This window comes from Homo sapiens, chromosome 6, assembly GCF_000001405.40.
Source record: "Homo sapiens chromosome 6, GRCh38.p14 Primary Assembly".
NCBI classification, from domain to species: Eukaryota; Metazoa; Chordata; class Mammalia; order Primates; family Hominidae; genus Homo; species Homo sapiens.
In genome coordinates, this window is record NC_000006.12 from 125,797,757 (window position 1) to 125,819,645 (window position 21,889).

Consider the following 21,889-nt stretch of genomic DNA (forward strand, 5'->3'; position numbering starts at 1 on the left):
GGTGTTTACAGCTGAGCCCTCATCCCTAGTTTCCGGTGATTTCCCCCAGGGTTCTGCCTGTCTGTAGGGTCCCACTGAAACAACTAGTCAGCAATACTCTTTGATATTTTGAATCACAGAACCTTCCAAAATAATTTCTATTTAACATGTCTTAACTCTGAAAACCTTTATAACAAGGAATAGGAATAGAATATTCACAAAACAGGAACTTAAGATGGCCAAGACATGAAAATAATACTGACTTCATGGCATCAAAGAAGTGCAGATTACTAGATTTAAAAAGTCAGTTACAATGCTGGCAAGAGTGAGGTTGTGTTTAGCTCACGAAGGGTAGGCTGGTATACCTTCAATGGAGAGCAGTTTGCCTCATGGTCTCTCTTGGCACTCGTGATTCTTCTCTGAGTATATCCTAAGGAAACAATCAGACATGAAGCTGAAGTTCCGTGATGAGCCCATGATCTCTGAGAGGCTACTGATATAGTAGAAAGGTTAAAAGCAGGAATGCCAGAGCCACTTATGTGGCTTGGAATCCTGTTCCACCAGTTACCACCTCTGTGCAGTTAGGAAGTTATTTTCTCCACACTTTGAGTTTTCTCATCTGTCAAATGAAGATAATAATAGTATCTACCTCCTACATTGTACAGAGAATTAGGTAAATTAATTTATGTAAAGTACTTGGAACCTTGCCTGGCACAGAGTAAGCAACTATCTAAGTATTAGTTATTATCAAGGGTGTTACTGTAAAAATTTGAGAAAAATTCAACAGTAGAGTCATTTTTTAAGTGATAGTAAATGTATATAAGATATTTAGCCATTAAAATAATGATTTTGAACAATATTTAATTATATGGGAGATGTTTATAATAACTGAGTTAAACATAAACAGTATATACAAAAAATTCTAATTTGATTTTAAGATGCATTTGCATAGAAAACAGGAAAGTGACAAACTTACTTTTTTCTCACTAATGGGATTATAAGAGATTTATGTTTTTCTTTTTCACATTTTTATTTGGTATCCATATGTATTATAATGATAATTATTGAACATTATTACAATTATGTATCATCCGATTTTTATATTTTTGACTTTTTTAAAGCAAATGCATATTCATTTTGACATATTGTACTTTCTCTTCCTCCTTTTAAAGCTACTAATATTTCACTTCCTCAAAATCTTCACCCACGCATCATCTGCTTGGTATTTTCTTGCATTTAGCTCTCTTGCTTTAGGTATAGATCAGCCCCAAGCCTGTTTCTTCAAGAATAAGCAGACCAAGTAAAATGACTGAAGAGATTTTAGTGGTGGTGGCTTTCTCCTGGAAGTTTAATCCCAAGAATGTGGCTTAGATGATGATGGCACTGTGTCCTCTCTACATTTCATGCACTCAGCCTGCTCTTCCACTCTTCCCCTGCATGAACTTGGCACTTCAGTGGGGTCAGAATCCTCAGTAATCCCACACATACAGGAGAGTAATTCCTGCCTCCCAAGCCTTTGCTGTCCTTGCTAGCTGGAATTTCCCTCCACATTTCTTCCTTTAAAATCAGTCTTCCACACCAGGTTTATACTTAATTCCATGAATACTTTCCAACCCATCTATTGTATGCTGACTTCAGTTCTTTTGGCACTTAAGCATTTGTGCCACAAATGAACTAAATATTGGCTTACTTTATTGCTTAGTTGTTCTTTTTTTTTTTTTTTTGATAGAATCTCGCTCTGTCGCCCAGGCTGGAATGCAGTGGCGCTATCTCGGCTCACTGCAACCTCCGCCTCCTGGGTTCAAGCAATTCTCCTGAGTCAACCTTTGGAATAGCTGGGACTATAGGCATGCACCACCACGCCCAGCTAATTTTTTTGTATTTTTAGTAGAGACGGGGTTTCACCTGGTTGGTCAGGCTGGTCTCGAACTCCTGGCCTCAAATGATCCGCCCTCCTCAGCCTCCCAAAGTGCTGGGTTTACAGACATGAACCGCTTTGCCGGGCCAGTTCTTATAGTAAGCTTATAGAAGTTGTGTTTTATATTACTCAATGTCCTTCTATTTTCTAGCATAGCATTATCCACATGCACATAGAACACAGGAAAATCGGATGTTGTTGTGTTGATGACATTCTTAGAGATAACGTATGAGTGTTCTGTTTCATGATCCCCTTTGCTCATCCTTCTATTTTCCTTGTTTTCAAAATCAGAATGTTATATCATTTAGGTTCTCAGTCTTACAGATATTTGCCTGAAGACCTGATAATAGATTTTCATTTCTAACATCTGAAACTTAAAGGGTTTAATTGCAGAGAGCACCACAGTTAGCAAATGCATTTATAATAGGGGGCTAGTAATATAATATACAAATTAATCCTGGTTGCAAAGACAACACTATCAATTTTAAAATATTGCTTGTTTGATCTAGACAATTTTGTGAATCTGTCAGAGAATTATTAAGTTTATAAAAGTGTTAGAATTTTATAGATCTTGCATTTTCTGGAAAGGACCAAATCCCAGGGAATGTTGTCACATATCTGCTGTCATAGTCTAGACTGGTGGTTTCTAAAGTGAAGTTCATGTACCACATGAAGGTACAGAAAGAAATTGTTGGAATGTCTTTATTTTCATGACTTCTGTTTTAGTTATGTGCCTTATAATTATTAGTACAGAGGACATGTTTTTATAAGTAAAAGTAATTAGAGTTTTATGCTCAGATACTTTTATTGATGTGGAATAAAAAGTGGAGACCACTAATCTAAATAAAAGGCAAGACCTTACCGTTTCATAACCTGAAGTCAGTTTCTGTTACTTAGCCATAACAAGTCAAAAATCAACTTATTAAACATAAATTCTGTGTCCAGCCTAAACAAAGAGTTGTGATGTGTGTTAGTGTACATAACTCTGCATGGATGAACAGCATAAGACACATTCCTTGCCTTTAGAGAGTTTACAGTCTGATTGGAAGGAATGTGGGCATAAGGAACAATAATTATAAAATGACACAAGGGGCCAGGTGTGGTGGCTCACGCCTGTAATTCCAACATTTTGGGAGGCCAAGGCAGGTGGATCACTTGAGGTCAAGAGTTCAAGACCAGCCTGGCCAACATGGTGAAACCCTGTCTCTACTAAAAATACAAAAATTAGGCAGGTGTCGGGGCACGCGCCTGTAATCCCAGCTACTGGGGAGTGTGAGGCAGTGAGGCAGGAGAATCGCTTGAACGAGTGAGGCAGAGGCTGCAGTGAGCTGAGATCGTGCCACTGCATTCCAGCCTGAGTGACAGAGTGAGACGCCATCTCAAAAAAGAAATAACATAAAGAAAATGACACAAGGTAGCATAAGTGTGCGCTGAGAAACTTAGCAGTATGAGTTTGTTAGTGTAAAATTGCTATAGAAAGCGTGATAGAAGTGGCATAGTACATGGTGATGCTGCATTCTCAGAATGTTCCAAAGACTCTTGCAGGATAAAATAATTCTTTGATAATCAGGTCAGTTCTTAGTCCATCTACCCAAATAAGCTGTGCTTGAATTGTCTCCTGGGCTCAGATGTTAACTGGATGAACAGAAAGCTCATCGAGTTAACATCCAGGCCCAGGAGGCAATTGGTAAATAATGTTTACCAATTTTCTTAATGACATGCCTGCATTTCCTTTAAATTATAAGAGAACGTGGCAGAATGGACATGTTGGGAAAGTAATAAAGTTTTTGGAGCAGTATCCTATTGCAACAGTGATAGTGTATAAAAGTAATTTAAAATTAGTGTATTAGTTTCTTAGGGGAGCCATGACAAAGTACCAGAAGCTGGTGGCTTTAAACATGTATTTTCTCACTTTCTGGAAGCTAGATGTTCAAAATCAAGGTGTCAGCAGGGCCGTGTTCCCGCTGAAACTGGTAGAAGAATCCTTCCTTTTCTCTTCCTAACTTCTGTTGGTTTGCTGGACCTTGGAGTTCCTTAGCTTGCAGCGGTATAGCTCCAAGTGTGGCCTGTGTCTACATGGCATTCTCCTTTTGTGTCTCTATCACTACATGGCCATCTTCTTATGGGGATTCCAGTCATACTGGATTAGGGCACCACACCACTCCAGTGTGATTTCATCTTAACTAACTGTATTTCCAAATAAGATCACATTCTGGAGTACTGAGGATTATAACTTCAACATATCTTTTTTGGAATGCTATAATTTAACCTATAACAGTAAGTAATATCAACCATTACGTATAGATATACCAAGACAATGCACAATGTCTTGTCAAATGATGCCTTCTCAGCTAAGACCCCATAGCCATGCAAAGTGGTTATGGGGTAAATGACAACTGGAAGAAAATGAAGCCTCCTCTGCTATTTTTGTCAGTTGTCTTGTCTCCGGGCTTTGATATCTCAGGCCTTGGTAGAATTATTCATATAAACAATAATATGTACTATGTGGTTTTGATCTTTCTGGTAAGACTCCATGAAGTAATTTGTGGATCAGGATGGTTCTAAGGGTGTATTGGGTTTTTTGTTGTGATAATGTTGCATAATTGTCTCCAAACCGCAGTGGGTTATATACACAAATATGTATTTCACCTTCATGGATTTGCAGGTTGACTGTGGTTTAGCTACTCCTGGCTGGGTTCTGCAGGCTGGCCTTGGCAAAGGTTAAGCCGGATGCCAAAGCTGAGGTTCAAGTTCGGGTTCTGTTCCACATGTCTTCATCCTGGAACCCAAGCTGAAGAGGGAAAAGCAGCTACCTGGAGCATACTCTGCTGGTGGAGAGCAGAAACTTGCCAGGTCTCTCAGTGCTTCAAGTCAATATGAATATGACTGTTAATCCTCACAGTCTATTGGTCAAAACAAGTCACATGAAAAATCAGATGGGGTCATATACTCTGTGTACTAGTGCAAAGCATCACAGAGCTGCACAGCAAAGGGTACGGATGTATAATTATCTTACAGCAAGGGAAGAAGTGCCTAATAAGGAACAACAATCCAGTCTACCAAAAAGCCATTTTCTTTTGAATTCTACAAGTTTTATGACAAGCAACTCAATAAACCTTAAAAAGAAAAAGAACGTATACCATAGACTTGATTTCTTAACCCAGTCTGCTAGAAATTTATAGTTGAATATTACACACATAATTTTTTTTTCCAAGAAGAGATCCTTGCACTTCTCCATGCTGATTTAGTTTCACACTTGGCATATTCCCTGCTGCTTAGACACTTTTTCTTATGTCTTGTTCCCGAACCCACGTTTGTGTATTTACCACAGTCCATATTTTGCTAACCACAATACTACATGCCTCTCTCTGTTGTTACCAAGACATCTGAGGCAGAATCTGGTAGAATTGCTTTTGTCTTGAGTGTGCTCTGATAGAGAACATTTTCACTGGGGATAAGACTGTTTCTGGTTTACAGATTTCATTGTTGATTGTGTGGCACTATTGAAATATAACCCTGAATTGTGGTTTTCAGGGATGTCCCACTTTTAAGACTTTCCCTACCAGCACTGGTCCGTGTGACCCAGCCATTTTCTTACTTCCCATTAGCACTTCCTCTGTGTGTCATACGTTTTATTTGGCATAACTTTTTCATGCCCCTGTTTCCTGATTATTTTATGTAAATCTTATCTCCCTTGTCAAAAATTGAAGTTTCTTTAGAGCACATTGGGTCCTTTTTATAGTCACAGGCTTCAGATAAATAGTACAGTTGTAGGCACAAAACAGGTTCTAAGTGCTTACTGAATTGAAGAAAATTACTCATAAATATATTACAAGGCACTATTTAGGAGTAAGCATAAGTTGTTTATTGCCACATACTCTCCATGTAAATATGCTGAAAGCACATTAAAAAAATGATAATTCAGTTATTTTATTTTGCATTTTTACAGGTATGAATGTATGCCAGTATATTTTGAAAATGCATTCAATTGCAGATCTCATCCACAGAAGGCAAAGAAGTACATGGCCTTTTCTTTAGTGAAATGGCAGTTTAATGGTAAATTGTCTCTCACTGATAACATCTCAGAAGACACTCAAATTTAATTCTTGAAAAGTAGTGTTTGCTATTTATATACTGTATGTTTTTGGAAAGGCATTCCATTTATCTTTTAACGCCTTTCATCTATCCAATTTTGTTGGTTTTATCAGTTAACTCTTAATTCAGATCCACAAAGTAGCCCCCAACAAATAGTAATAAGTAGTAATAGTAGTAGTGGTAACTACTGCTCACATTTTTTTTTTTTCCTCTCCTGAAATTGATGCATTGGGACCCAGTCTAAGACCAGGACACATGCATCCATGATGGCATTTACTGTGAGCACAGGGCCCTGGCACAGTGATTCACATTGGCACATATTCTCTGCAAGGATTTGGATAATGAGATTGAGTTCTGTACCAGTCTAGAGACTCCAGAAGTTTGCAGCTTATTTTCTTTGGACCGGAGCTAGAATATGTCTGCAAAAAAATCAAACGGGCCAGAGAGTCTATGGTTTTAGGAATGAATCTGTCTGTTAGTATTAAAATGAATTCCAGAAGTAATTGAAAACAAACTTTCTTTCCATGTCTCCTGTTTATTGATGCTACTTGGAGCCTAATGTCTTTAGATTTGTCTTAGAGATGATCTGAAGTGATCTTCTGGTGCCACAGCATAGTAGGGGGTATCTCCAGAAACTCCACTGTGGGTGAGGCAGGCATCATATTTTTCACACCTCTTGTGACAGGTAATCAAAAGCATGTCACAGGTACCCAGTAGTGATTGATGGTGAGAAAGAGGATGTCTCTTATGACTAGGAGATGAGATCAGCAGATAGATTGTTCTGTTTTCATTACCTCCAGTAACTTTCTGTATGACAATGCAGATTTGGCCCTTCTAATCTTTGTGTGCAGGTAGAAAACTTCAAAACTGACTTATACCTTATGAGTATTAATGAGAGAATGCATTCAATATATTAAAAATATTTGGTAGAAATGTTATAGAACTATAAATTTTTAATTCTAAAAATGAGCTATAATTTTAGTGCTTAGAAAAAAGATGGCTTTCATAATTTAAGAGAAACAAAGAAATAAATTTTTTTTTAAAAAAAGAAAAATTCCAAATTCTGACTGTCTGTATTTACCAATTCCATTTTCTGTGAGGAAATAGATTGGTTTCTTCTGTTCTCAAAACGTAAGGGGTAATTAATTTAGTGAATTAAGAGAATGTGCTTTCCGGTTAGCTCTTTAAAAACCTACTCAGTGCAATAAATAGTTGTTGAATGTACTGACATGTTTACTAAAGTGCATTTAGTATGAATAGTAATGGCTAACCTGAATACAGGTCAGTATTTACATCCTTAAAGACAGTTGGCCATAAAGCTGGGTTCACCCTCTTGTTCTTTTTTTTTTTTTTTTTTTTTTTTTTTTGACAGAGTCTCGCTCCGTCGCCCAGGCTGGAATGCAATGGCACGATCTCGGCTCATTGCAACCTGTGCTTCCCAGGTTCAAGCAATTCTCCTGCCTCAGCCTCCTGAGTAGCTGGAATTACAGGAATGCGCCATCATGCTGGCTAATTTTTGTATTTTTAGTAGAGATGAGGTTTCACCATGTTGATCAGGGTGGCCTCGAACTCCTGACCTCAGGTGATCCACCCGCCTCAGCCTGCCAAAGTGCTGGGATTACAGACATGAGCCACTGTGCCCAGCCCCTGTCTTGTTCTTTTTAACTGTGGTTAAATCCAGGAAGAACCAGGCATTGATGTGAAAATTATGTGTAGTAATAGCCCACCCTTACAGGCCATTATTAGTGGTTCCTTCTTTGGGGTCAGACAGAGCTGATCATTCTGGCTGTAACTCTTATGGCTATTTGACCTTGAATAAATTCTTTAATTGTTCTAAAGTTCAGACTCTTTATCTGGAAAGAATTGAGATTAACTCCCTCATGCAGTCATAAAGATTAAACCAAGCAGTGTGTGTAACAGTACTGAACAAAAAATTTGGTGCATATGGTTAATGTTCAATAAATATTTAACTGTTTCCTGTCATCTTTGTATTCACTAGGTCTGCCTGGCTTGTTAGTTTACTATTTGGGGCGGATTTGAATGTGGCTCTTCAGGTGGTATTGAAAATGGTATTTCATGAACACTTGCATATTTGGATGCATGGAAATCTCAATGGATAGAATTTTCTGTTCCATGGGGCACCAGATTCTAGTCATTGATTTTTTTACACATTGAGTCTCTGTAACAGCCCTTTTGCAGATAAAGAAACTGAAAGTTAGAGAAATTAGGTAACTTACCCAAGGCTACATACCTTGTAGGTGGTGGAGTCTGGATTTTAACCAGGCCTGTCTTACTTTAAAGGTACCTTTCAGCCGGGCACAATGGCTCACACCTGTAATCCCAGCACTTTGGGAGGCTGAGGTGGGCAGATCACCTGAAGTCAGTAGTTCAAGACCAACCTGGCCAACATGGCAAAACCCCATCTCTACTAAAAATACAAAAATTAGCTGGGCATGGTGGCAGGTGCCTATAATCCCAGCTACTTGGGAGGCTGAGGCAGGAGAATCACTTGAACCCAGGAGGGGGGGATTACCGTGAGCCGAGATCGTGGCACTGCACTCCCGCCTGGATGACAGAGTGAGACTCCTTCTCAAAATAAATAAATAAATAAAAGGTACCCTTCTGCCTTAATAGCATGGGTTAAGTGTTATTCAGATGAATCACAGAGCATATGGAAAACAGAACTTCTCAGGTATATGAAGTTTATAAAATCTCGGCTTTAAGGGAATTTTTGAAATTAAAAACATTTAATTTAAAAGCTAATTTAAAATACTAGTTTACCCGTGGGGCTTGATTTTCCTCTTAATAGTGATTCTCATTGGTTGTGGTACCCTTTCCTGGGGCATTTTGGTTGGCGTGGTTGTGGGAAGGGCGCTACTGGCATTTAGTTGGGGGCAAGCAGAGGTGCCAAATGCCCTGCAATGAGTGAGGCAGTCCAAGAAAATGAAGAATTGACCCTTGTACTTGGGAATTTCGTATCTTCTTCTGTAGGAGCAATATGAATCTATATTATGTCTTCTAATGAACTTATGTCTGAGAATTTACATATTGAAATACCTGTGATCAAGTACTTTCCTTTGGGGCATCATGATGATTTTATAAAATTAAGTGTGTAAGTAGGTTACATGATCTATGAATTTCATCTCAATATTATGAAGGGCGTATAATAAAATGCTTTACATATTTATTTAGGTGAGGTGTTGAATTTGATAAGGCTGAGAACTGCGTTTCTACAGTAGTCATATAAAACGGTTGCTCAGTATGTGCCCTGTCACTCTTGAAGATGAGGAAGCCATTCCATCTGCAGGCAGCTGTTTGCACCTACCTCTCAGACAGTTCTTCCTTATACTGAGCCACCGACCTCTCTCCCTCCATATCTAATGTCTAATTCTAGGTATACCCCTTGAAGATCTGTCTATCAAGCCTAAATCATCTATTAGATAAAGATCCTTCAGATGTTTAAAAACAGCTGTCATTTAATCCAAGTCTTCTCTCCTGACCAACTCCTTTGACTAATATTCTTAAAATCTAGTTTCATGCCATTTAACCATCCTGTTTGTTCTAATTTCCCTATAGTGTGAGATCCCTAGCTAAATGCAATAATCTTGATGTAGTCTAATCCTCAAAAAGGGTATGACAGACTATTATAATCTGTTTATTCTGGGTTGATAGCACTAGTGGGTTTTTTCGAGGTGAGGGGGAGGAAGGTGCACAGTGGAATTACCCAACTGTAATTCCATATATGAATCTTCCAGATATGAATCATATTCACTTGCACTAACACTAAACTGTACCGCTCTCATTTCTTAGTACCTCACCAGTAAAACATCAGATTCATGTGGGGTAAATTTCCACCTTATAATAATTGACTCCTTTCTACAGACAGCCGAGGGCTTTTGAACCCTAATGCTGCTATCCAGGATGTTATTAAGTACCTACGTCTCCAAATGGCTGATAAGGGAGGCCTCTATATTTTTGTTCAAGTCAGTGGGAAATATACTCATGAGGACAGGGCATAAGAAAAAATACTGCATTAAGCTATTAATCTTCTCCCTCCAGGTTCAGAATGGATTTCAGCTCTCAGAGCAACTGAGGTTGGTCAGTCAGTCAACACATACCTCTTGGTACAGTGATTCAGTGATTTCCTTTATTCATTTAATCATATAAACATCTACCTACACACCCAACCCACATTTCTCCATCTTATCCATAAGCAGACAAGAGAAATCTATCAAATGCCTCTTAAGTGCAGTTACATGTGTTTTCCTCATTTTCCTGATCCACTAGAATAGCAGCTATGTCAGGGAGGGAAATTAGGACAGTGTGATTTGACTAAGCCAGCATTCCCTGAATGTCCTCTCGTCTACCAGCCCTTGCACTCCAGCCTTACCAGATCACTCAGGATTCCCCGAACACCACACATTCCTGCCAGTGGCTTGCACATCCTCATTCTGCCTGATGAGCCTGACCTCTTCTGCATTCACGGTCTGGGAAACTCCTGCATCTCCTTCCCAGCCCAGCACTGGCATCACCTGTGACATTGCTGGGACACTCCTTCCCTTTGAGGCAGCGTAAGTTGCTCAGTGCTCTGTGCTGTGTGGTTCCTTGTGACCACTAGTATCAGAGCACTCACCACATCTCATTTAATCAGCTGATAAGTTATAGTTGCCTCTTCTTCCTGAGCTTCCTGGCTGATGAATGCTGTCTTCATCTTTGTGTCTGCAGCAGAATACTTGGTCCGTGATAGATGTTTCCAAAAGTGATCCACTTGTCCTGCTGAATTGTTGGCTTTGTGGGATCATTCTAGATCTCAGGGTCCACAGCTCCCTCCCTCTGTTTTCTTACCAAACTGCCTTAAATGATCATTTCTAAAATTTTCCTGGGAATCTATGTGATGATATGCTTCAGTGTATAGTTTGCACAATTACCCTTTCTAAACTAAAATGCATTTGTCTGTTTTCAGGCTTCTGGCATTTTCTACACCTTCTGCAGTTCTTCACCCTGCCAGTGACTTTTTAGAAATCTCATTTGCATGTTCTTTTCTAAGAGAGAACTTATAAAATGATCTGTCTAGCCCAGAGATGGGTCTTCATTTAGAGTATGTAGGAGATTTGATGGCATCTCTTGACTCATCTTAGGTAAAAGGGCAAGGAAACTCACATTTGTTTAATTTTTCTCAGGTCAAATTTGAGCACCCTAGGCAGAGAATAATGGAATAGGAGTTGATGAGTTCTCCATTCATTTTGCCATGCAAAGATGTCAAACCCTTTCCCGAATAGCAGATCCGGAGCCCATCCTTGATCATCACCTTGCTTCAGGAATAACTTTTTAGTTGTTTGTTGCTGAATCATTCATTTTTGTTTTTTTGTTGTTGTTGCATTGTTTTTGTAACATGTATTTATTTATTTGGGGGGTATTATCTGATTGCTCTCCTTTAAGTTGTTTTTTGTTTTTTTTTGAGAGAGAGTCTCTCTCTGACGCCCAGGCTGGAGTGCAGTGGTGCAATCTAGGCTCACTGCAACCTCCGCCTCTCAGGTTGATCTCGTGCCTCAGCTACCTGCGTAGCTGGGACACCAGGCATGTGCCACCACGTCTGGCTACTTTTTGTGTTTTTAGTAGAGATGGAGTTTTGCCATGTTGGATAGGCTGGTCTTGAACTCCTGACCTCAAGCCTTCCACCTGCTTCAGCCTCCCAAAGTGCTGGGAATATAGGCATGAGCCACTGCGTCTGGGTACCCTTGTAAGTTTGTGGCACACGTTTGTATCTGGTTCTGCGTCCTTCCCAGGTTTCTCTACTGTTACAGGGAGTGTTCAAATTTCTGACCTTGTGTAACATTGAAATTTGAATATTTTTGCTTTGTTTAGATGACAGTGTGGCTTTGAGAGACTGAACACCTGTCATATTTTGGTATAAATATAACTATTTTCTAGGAGGAAATGCCTGCATAGAAAGGTCCATTTTGATCTGTTCCTTACGTGACCAAACACAGTGTGACCAAGCCTCAATGTGTACTCCTGACATCATTTCATTTGTATATTAAGAAACATGTTGTTGGGAAAACAGCTGATGGGCCTCATGGATATACTGCTGTTTTTCTAGTCCTGACTTGTTATACTTGAATATTCAAGGAACTGCAGTGTGTTGGAGGTGAATCCAAAAAGCCATGCTTTGCTATGTGGGTCCACAGCTGTGTGACCCACAGCTGACAGGCTGAGAGGTATTAATTAATTTCCTGAATTCAACAGCACTAGCTGTGGTACGGCAGTTATTTAAATCCAGTCTGGTGTACACTCCAGTGTCTTTCAATAACCTTTGGAGCCAGAAAGCATTTGGGGATGAGCTAGAAAAAGTAGTCCGGAGTCAACAACATCCAGTGCTGCAGCACAGAATTTGCAAGTTAAGACACATGTACCTAGCCACTGGGACAGGGAGGTCATTGAGGACCTCCAGCTGTGTGACCCACAGCTGTGTGGGTCAGTTTGGTGTAGTTAAGGGGTCTCTGCTGGTTCTGTTCTTTTAAATGGTGCCATGTGTACAAACAAGGAACACTTTTCTGATGATTCAAAAAATACTTTGTCTTCATCACAGCTCTTTTGAGGTAAGGATTTTTATGTGCTATTTTTATTTGAATAATGAACTGGATTTAAGTTTAATTGACTATCCTGATTTAAGATTGCAAAAAAAAATATTTAGATGGAAGATTCATCTTGTGCTTTCTCGTGAAATTCTTTTTGGTCTGCAATACACCATAAATGCAGGAGACTCTTAGAAGTCAGCATTTAGATGAGTCTAGAGTGTATTGAATGAAGGAAAGTCAACATTAAATGAATGAAGGGCTTTTAAGAAGCCCATTATGACCACTTATAATGGAAAATGTAGTTCCCATTAGAGACTGATTTAAGGAGCTCTGGTTCTTCACTGAAGCATGAAGGCTGCAGTGTGGTGTTCTGTGCAAATCATTTTTATAGCATTCTCTACTGAGCTCCTTCTGGTTAATCTGTTGGTGTGTCTAAACCTGTAAGAACTGCATCTATCATGTTTAGGGAATACAAAAATTTCCAGAAACTTAAACCAAAGATTAGCATATTTTTCATTTACCTAATAGGATATTGAAAAATAAAAAAAGCCTTACTGGTTGTAATCAGACACAGCAGCACCAGATGTCAACTATTGGATCATTTAATCTTTTTCTCTTGTGCATATTTTCATTAATATTTTTCTACTTGAACCAAATATTAGTTTCTGGCTCATCTTGCAGTATAAAAATTTTCCAATTAGATTGCTGTAACTTAATTTTTATTCATGACTGGAAATTTAATAGAAATCATTGCTTTTGTAACATGTAGGAGATGAACTTTAAAATAAACCACCTGACCCAGGGCAGGGCAGAGAGCCTAGGATTCTGATCTTTCCTGGAGTCTGAGGGAGGCTGGCATGAGACTCCATCCTCCATCCCTAAGTAATTCTTAATTTGGGAGGAATTTTTGGATTTGTATTGGTCTGCCATATAATTGACGTTATCCCCAGTCCTGGATTAATTTACCTCCTTGCTTAGCTTTTATATGGATTTTCTGCCTACTTATGTGCCAGTTATTTAGGGAAGTATAGTAAAAGTGAAACTTGGTGTTATTTGACTTGAAGGAATTTATGGTTGGGGCGAGGAGACTAATTGAAATGCTGTTGTCACACAGTATATGATTAAGTGCCTTGCAGTAAGTTATAGGTGATATATGAAATAAGCTCTTTAGGGGAGAGGAGCGCACACAAGTGGTCAGGGAAGGCTTTGAAGTAGAATTGGGCCTTGTCAGAAGGAGGAGCCTAGCAAGGTTGCCTCGTGCCTGAGGAAAGAGTGAGGATAAAGGTGCAGAGTTGGGGAGACGCCCAGGGGGTTCAAACCACAGTGTGAAACTGAGCTCATGAGAGTTAGACACTCAGCCGCCATCTTTCCTTTTTCTTCTTTCTCCTTGCACTCGAATTCTTGAATGAGTACTAACTACCCCAACTCATGGTAGCATGGCTTCCACTCCCAATACGTCACTAATGCAGTCCCGTTGGAGGTCCTCAATGACCTCCCTGTCCCAGTGGCTAGGTACATGTGCCTTAACTTGCGAATTCTGTGCTGCAGCATTGGATGTTGTTGACTCCGGACTACTTTTTCTAGCTCATCTCCAAATGCTTTCTGGCTCCAAAGGTTATTGAAAGACACTGGAGTGTATACCAGACTGGATTTAAATTGCTGCCGCACCACAGCTAGTGCTGTTGAATTAAGGAAATTAATTAGTACCTCTCAGCATCAGTTTAATGGAAATAAGGACATCTAAATCATAGTGTGGTTGAAAGATAAAAAGATAACATAGGGATAATATGTTGAAGTAAATGGCTGTTGGTAGGCAGGCATCAAGATTAGTTCCCTTTCCGTACCTGGTAGCCATGCTTTCCTTGCCTGAGTGTGCCTAGCCCCTTTCACTTCTATCCCTTTGCTCTGGCATTCCTACTTTCTGGAATTGAAATCCTAACCACTTTACCCATTGAAATCCTAACCACTCTGAAAGGTTTATCACCTCAAGCAGAATTGAACTTCACATCTTTTGGATTCTTACTTAGTATTATTCATTGGACAGCCCCAAGTTACTACCCTACAGTTTAGTTATCTGCACAGTCATATTTTCCTGACTGGATGGAAAACTCTTTGAGGGTGAAGCCCAAGTCAGGGATGTGAAGATAAACTAGTAAGAGCTGAGACTGTGTACTCCCATGTTTCTGTACAGGGCTGAATGAATAGTTGTCAGGCTTCCAAGGTGATCTCATCATCATATTGTTTTTTCTCCTTTTCTTCCTAACCACAAGCATATGCTGATAATTTCTAATTCCTTTCCTCTAGCCTTCACTGCCCTTCTGTGCTTTCAGTGTAATCAAACGTCTGGTGAATGTCTCCAACTCCACTATCCCATAGCCGTCTCAAAGGCACAATGTCCACAACCGATTTCTTACCTCCTTCTGCTCCCCTGTCCTACATGCAGCCTGCCCTTTTCATGTATATTGTACTAGATCTTCGGTGCCGTAACCCACGCAGTTCCTGAAGCAGAAACTTGGAGGACATCCTTCATTCCTTACTTTCCTTGTTATCTACACTGCATGACTCATCAAATGTCAACTCATCAGTCTCCTAAGTATTTCTTGAGTCCATCCCTCCTCTTTCTATGTCAACTACTGCTGCCTAGTTTTGGGTGCTCCTCCCTCAATTAGTTTGACTGTAATTTCTTTTTAATGAATCTACTTCACCCTGTCCTTAAATCCTCTCACGTCAATCCTCTACCTCTGCCGTCTGATTATGCTACACTCCCTCATGGAGAACCCTCTGGTGGCGCCCTTCCATGTACCTTGGGGATGAGAAAATTAGTTTTATCTCATGGACCAGCTCTGATGGATTTGGTAATGGCTCTGCAAATGCTGCCGCTGGGTTCAGCATGAGCAATTGATGGCCTCTGACAAGGTGCAGTGAAGGGGGTGGGCTGCACATAGCCAGCTAGGATTAAGTCCAAGCTCCTTAGAGCAGCATACAAGGCTTTCCGTGACCCAGATCCTGCCCATGTCTTCATCCTCAGCTCACTTTACCCTGGAACAGAAGGGAACAATTTTGTCTTCTTGCTTTTGTTCAATTGAAACCTGCTTGCTCGTACCCTTTACCTGGGAAATGCAATTTTTTTTTTTTTTTTTTTTAGACGGAGTTTTGCTCTTGTTGCCCAGGCTGGAGTGCAATGGAGTGGTCTCGGCTCACTGCAACCTCCGCCTCCCAGGTTCAAATGATTCTCCTGCCTCAGCCTCCCAAGTGCTGGGATTACAGGCACCTGCCACCACGCCCGGCTAATTTTTGTATTTTTAGAGAGATGGGGTTTCACTATGTTGGCCAGGCTGGTCCCGAACTCCTGACCTCAGGTGATCCACCCACCTCGGCCTCCCAAAGTGCTGGGATTACAGGTGTGAGCCCCTGCGCCTGGCCGGAAATCCATTCTTAACCTACAACCTTAGTGTGTGCTCAGGATACCTGGGGTGGGCCTTGCATAGTGTTAAGTGTTATTTGTTTTTAATTGGCAAATAGAAATTATATATATGTTTTTTTAATGATATTTTGAAAATATACATTAGAAAATGGCTAAATTTAGCTAATTAAGTATTCCTGAGGTCTATTTTTCAGCAGTACATATCACATTGTCTTGAAATCCTAAGTGTCTCTCCTGAAAGACAATATATACTGTTAGAGCAAATATCATGTCTTTATCTTTGACCTCTGGGACTTATCACACTCCCTTTCATGTAGTATGTATTGTGGATTAATTTGTTTATTGAATTGAAATGAATTAGTAAATAATTTTGATTGTGAATACACTTTGCTTTATTTATTTATATTTACTAATTTTTTTTTGAGACAGAGTCTCCCTTTGTTACCCAGGCTGGAGTGCGGTGGTGCCATCTTGGCTCACTGCAACCTCTGCCTCCTGAGTTCAAGCGATTCTCGCGCCTCAACCTCCGGAGTAGCTGGGACTGCAGGCGTGCACCACCATGCCTGTCTAATTTTTGGTATTTTTGGTAGAGATGTGGTTTCACCCTGTTGGCCAGGCCGGTCTCAAACTACCAATCTCAAGTGTTCTGCCTGCCTCGGCCTCCCAAAGTGCTGGGATTACAGGTGTGAGCCACCGCACAGCCTGCTTTTTTTGATTTAAATTTGATAGGTGAACAAACTATTGCTTCAGGGTGAAAGGACAAATTTTAGGAATGTTAGTGCTCTGCAGAAATTTAGACTGGTGAATCACTGAATAAGTAGACAATTGGAAATTTTTGAGCAGGGGAGTGGCATGATAAAAGTGGTATTTGAGGAAGCTTGATCTGGAGACAACCTTTTTTTATATTATAGGCTTAAGCCACTGCTGGCAAGCGTGGGTGAGGGTCGCAGGGGTGGAGAAGAGGGAGACGCAAGGGTTTAAAGCCATGCTGAGGAACAGCTTCCTGTGTCTTTGTACTTTCATTTCCACATTTGCTCAAGTGGGATGTACTTGCTGGCATGTTTCCGAAAATAAAATAGAGTGCTGAAGTTATTTTTATTTTTTTAAAAAAACATTCTTGTAAAACACCTAAGTGAGCCATTTTACATAATTATCTGAGACATATGCCTTATTAATTGCTTGGGAAGAGTGATTATGAGTTCAATTTTTTTTTAAATAATTAGCATCTACATAGTTAGGCTACAATCTTCCAAAGTCAGTGAAGGTTTTTATTTTGGCATGTTTTAAAATAGTTGTTAGTTGTGAGGAAAATACTGCAGTTTGGTTTTCCATCAGGTTTTGCTTTATAGTTTAACATCTCCATTCTGATTGTAGTTTCTCCCATGGACATTTGCATTTCATATTTGACTCATGTGACTGTTTCCTGGTTAAAGTTTATTTTTCATTTGTTTTAGTCCATGTAGTTCTACTCCATTTTATTTTTCACATTGGCCAGTGTAAACTTTTAAGTTTACAGTTGCTTTGTTATCTTTTCTTACAGGGTTACGACTCACTGATTAAAAAGAGGGACTTTTTCAAATACTTTGCACTTTTGATTGTGTATTATGGATACCAAGGAAGAGAAGAAGGAACGGAAACAAAGTTATTTTGCTCGGTAAGCATTCATTTTACAAAATTGTTATCAGTACTTTAAAGAAATATTTGAGGGGACTTTGTCCTCAAGTATTACTTCGCATTTTGTGTTTTGTGCTTGTTCATAAATAGAGCAGGTAACCAGGAGAAGTAAACTATACTTTGCTTCATCCATTTTATTCATATTAGAGGAGTGTAACATTTGGTTCTTCTCTTTCTAGCTTTGACACTTCTCTCAGGCCAGTGTTGCTCAGCGAATCCAGCTGTCATGCTCTGACCTGCAAATTGCTCCAAATCCCATGTTTAGCAACCTACCTTGAATTTTAAATCCTAAGTGCTTTGTTCCTACTGTTCTGTAGCTTAATAGGTTGGACTATAACTGAAAATCTCTGACACATTTAAAGCTTATCACCTTGTGGGGAGTCTATTACTAAGAAATATTTTTGTAGGTAGGTGAAATGGGTGAAATTATATTTTTGAATCAGAGTCATTTTTAAGGCTGGAACTTGTCCAACATAAATAAATTTGTTGATATCTGAATAGAAGTAATGTAGTATATGATTGGTTACCATTTACAGATTTAAATGTCTATGTGGCACTCACTAAACATAATAAAATGAATTATATGCTAAACATTTGTAAAACATTTTGATAAGCCAGAATGTTTTCAGACTCAGAGAACATAGGCTTAAAAACATTATGTTTCTCCTAAATTGAAATACATGTTAAGAACTGAATTTAGCCTCATTCCATCCCCAGTCCCCAGGCTGTGCTCATTAGAGATGCATTTATTATTTTCTAAACATGAGCCTTGGAGCCAAAACCAAAGTTTGTTGTTGATGTTTTTATCTAGTAATTAAGCTAGATTTTAGGTTGATAATGGGAAAAGGACAGAAACAATTTAAGGACCTACTATGTACTGAGTGTTTTACTTATTATTTTAATTGCCTTCAAAATAAATCTATGACATCGGTTAATTTATCTCCATTTTACCAGTGATGCAACTAAGACTCAGAAAATATTTTGTCCATTTCATGCAGCATAAGAGTCAGTATTAAACATAAGGCCATCTCCAAAAGGCATGCTCCAGTTAGGAATAGTAAATCATGAATAAGGTTTTGGGGAAGCACAAGTTAAACTACCAATTGTAGTAAAATATTTTCTGCTATTATGACTACAGAGAGTAACCAGATTAGGGAAGGAAGACATCAGGCATCTAATGGATGAGGCACCAGAAAGATAGGATATTTAGAATAAATAAGATCTCCAAAGTTTTTATTTTGAGATAATTTTAGATTCACATGTAGTTAGTTGTAAGGAGTAATAGATACCCTGTATTCTTTATCCATAGTACAGTATCACAACTAGGAAATTCATATTGATACAATCCACCAGCCTTATTCAGAGCATTCATTGTATGTGTGTTTGTGTGTATTTAGTTCCATGCAGTTATATCACATGTAGATTTCTGTGGTCACCATCAGTCAAGATACAGAACAGTTGCATTAAAAGGATCCCACATGCTACCTTTTTGTATCCCTACTCACTCCTTCCATCTGCCTGCCTCCTCTGACAACCACTATAATTTGTCATTTCAAGAATACTAGGTGAATGGAATCATATAGTATGTAACCTTTGGCATTTAGCTTTTTCTTCCCTTCAGCATTACTCCCTTGACATCCCTCAAAGCTGTTGCATGTATCGATAGTTTGTTCCTTTTTATTGCACAGTAGCATTCCATAGTATGGATGAATCACAGCTTTTTAGTCATTTACCCATTGAAGGGCATTTAGGTTGTTTCCAGTTTGGGCTATTTATGAACAAAGATGCTAGATGCTACAATCATTTATGTACAAGTTTTTGTATGAGCATGAGTTTTCATTTCCCTGAGATAATTGTCTGAGAGTGCAATTGCTGGGTCAAAAGATAAGTGTATTTTTAGTTTTATAAAAAAGTGCAATACTCTTTTCTGGAATGGTTGTAACATTTGACATTCCCATCAGCAAAGTCTGAGTAATCCAGTTTGTCTGCATTGTCATTTGGTGGTGTCAATATTTTTTATTTTTATCTTAGCTATTCTGATAAGTATGTAGTGATATCTCATTATGGTTTTAATTTGTATTTCCTTAATGGTTAGTGAAGTTTAACATTTTCATGTGCTTATTATTAGCCATAGTGTATCTTCTTTAGTGGCATCTCCTTTCCTATCTTTTGCCCATTTTCTAATTGAATTGTTTAGGTTTTTACTGTTGAATTGTACACATTCTAGTCTTTTGTTGGATATGTGATTTGCAAATATTTTCTCCCGGACTGTAGTTTGTCTTTTCATCCAGTTAACAGAGTTGCAGAGCAAAAGGTTTTAATTTTGATGTGGTTCAATTTATCAGTTTCTCCTTTTATGAATTGTGCTTTTGGTCTGAATTCTAAGATCTCTTTGCCTAGCTGTATGTTCTGAAGATTCTCTCCTGTTTTTCTTTTCTGAAAATTTTATAGCATTATGTTTTATATTTAAGTCTGTGATCCATTTTGAATTTATTTGTGGATAAGATATGAGTTTAGGTCAAAATGGTGGTCATGCTTCTCCTCCCCTTCCTCCCCGTCTCCCTTCCTCACCTCCTCCCTTTCTTCCTGCTCCTCTTCCTGCTCCTCTTCCTCCTCTTCTTCCTCCTCCCCCTTCCCGCTTCTCCCCCTTCCTTCTTTCTCCCACCTCCTCCTTCCTCCTCCTCCTTACTTTCTTCTTCTTTCTTTTCTTTCTTCTTCACTTGCCCTACATAGTGATTTTAAGAGCTATAGTGCCTTCTCAGCCTGAATCCAAAGTGATTCCTGTAGTAAAGGTAACTGCCGGTTCATGAACAACCTGCTCAATGTTAACCTCTTCTTGTTCCTAAAATGTAGAGTCAGGGGAGCCCCTGAAACTGAGAATACAAACCAAAACTGTTCTGGAAGAGCAGCACAGTTTTTTCAACTCAGAAATGTAAAATTGTCTTGCTTATCATGACCTCTTCTGAAAAGTATTCTAAAAATGAAACAAAAAACGTATCCTAAAATGCTGAAATGTGATCTTGGGAGCATAGGGACAGTGGCACAAGGATGAAATCAGTGATGCTCTTAAGACAGTAAGACAACATGATTTGTAACTAGGAAATGAGAGAGATGGAGAGAGGAGAATGGAGAGAAGAGGGGGTAGGAGCAGGGAGAGAGAGAAAGAGACAGAGAGAGAAACACTGACTGACAAACCTGTAGTTTAGCTCTTACAATGCAGTGGAAGCCAGAAATGGTCAAGCTATTAAAAGCAAAAGGCAAACCAAAGAGAAAAGAACCCCCTTCAGCCTATAATCAGAAAAGAGCCATCCAAAGTTATACATCTTTTCAAATGCCTTCTGACTTAACTGTGGAATTACCATGTGGAACTAGCAACAGAACTTACTTGAAAGCTGGTTTCTGACAATGTAGAGCAGAGTTCTCTGGAGCAGCGTACTTAAGGGCAGTCCAAGCAAGATCTCTGGAGAGAAGGATAAAATGTCAGGCCAAGGGTGAGGCCAAACTGATGCAATCTCAGTTTTCTCTAAACTAAATTATACCACCTTACATAAATCTCAACTGGTGTTCTGAGGAAGTCAAAAGGAAGATTTACCCTGATGCTGTGCCTGCTGCCACAATTACATATCTGAAACCCTAAAAACTGCTTTTTAGCCTGCTTCCCCCTTCCACCTAGGAAAAACTAGGAACACCTAGTTTTTCCTCCTGAGTAGTTAAATAGCCAATGTTTTCTTTGTGTGCTATCTTATCATGTGGTTTCATAATCGTTGTGTGACTGTGTTTGATAAATAGTCCTTTGCCAAACCTGTTTTGTTGACGTTTCGCTCTTTAACATCAAAATAGAGTTTAAAATACCCTATTTTAATAATTTTGGATTGAAATTAGTGATTTGAGGGTCACCCAGTCTTTCCTTTCTTATAATTTATCTTGAAATATGCCTGTGTAACTCTAAATAGAGGGGTGGATTAATACTGCTACTAGATAGAGTAATTCTGGATAAGACCTGATGAATTTTTTGGATTTTCTGACCCTGGTCCAACTGGTTTTCAGGTGCTTCAGGATAGTTTTATAACAGTTGTTAAATCTAGATTGAATGATTTGTGAAACTTTTTCACAAATGGTTTTGCAAATAATTTATATATGCAAAATTAGTATATGTCTATATTAATTTCTTGATCCCTGACAGGTCTTGAAAACCAAATGAAAAACTGAATTACTAAAGCA

At 39.0% G+C, this 21,889-nt stretch overlaps 1 protein-coding gene and 1 long non-coding RNA gene across 18 annotated transcripts in view, besides 1 other annotated feature; one reads left to right on the top strand and one right to left on the bottom strand.

Moving 5' to 3' along the window:
• The window catches only part of NCOA7 (nuclear receptor coactivator 7), a 150,920-nt gene that overhangs the window by 16,642 nt on the left and 112,389 nt on the right, over positions 1-21,889 (top strand). For 16 of the 17 annotated variants that reach the window (XR_007059204.1, XM_047418206.1, XM_047418207.1 and 13 more), the window contains one exon: positions 17,535-17,648. Coding sequence is in view for 15 of the 17 variants with exons in the window: in XM_047418206.1 (XP_047274162.1) it covers positions 17,599-17,648 (50 nt within the window). In the remaining 2 variants the exon portion in view is untranslated. Of the gene's footprint in view, positions 1-5,833; positions 5,954-17,534; positions 17,649-21,889 lie in introns of those variants that run through there. The other variant, XM_017010269.2, reaches the window with a different exon arrangement.
• On the bottom strand, positions 105-21,102 carry NCOA7-AS1 (NCOA7 antisense RNA 1). The gene is made up of 3 exons (NR_126386.1): positions 21,054-21,102; positions 4,547-4,688; positions 105-409 (listed from the first exon to the last, which is right to left on the bottom strand). It is a non-coding gene; the product is annotated as an NCOA7 antisense RNA 1 (long non-coding RNA).
• Positions 20,327-20,828: an enhancer, noted in NCBI's record as "H3K27ac-H3K4me1 hESC enhancer chr6:126139229-126139730 (GRCh37/hg19 assembly coordinates)". NCBI's record gives its function as "activates a minimal SCP1, AML or CMV promoter by ChIP-STARR-seq in naive H9 embryonic stem cells {active_cell/tissue: H9 hESC(naive)}" and the evidence as "EXISTENCE:reporter gene assay evidence [ECO:0000049][PMID:30033119]".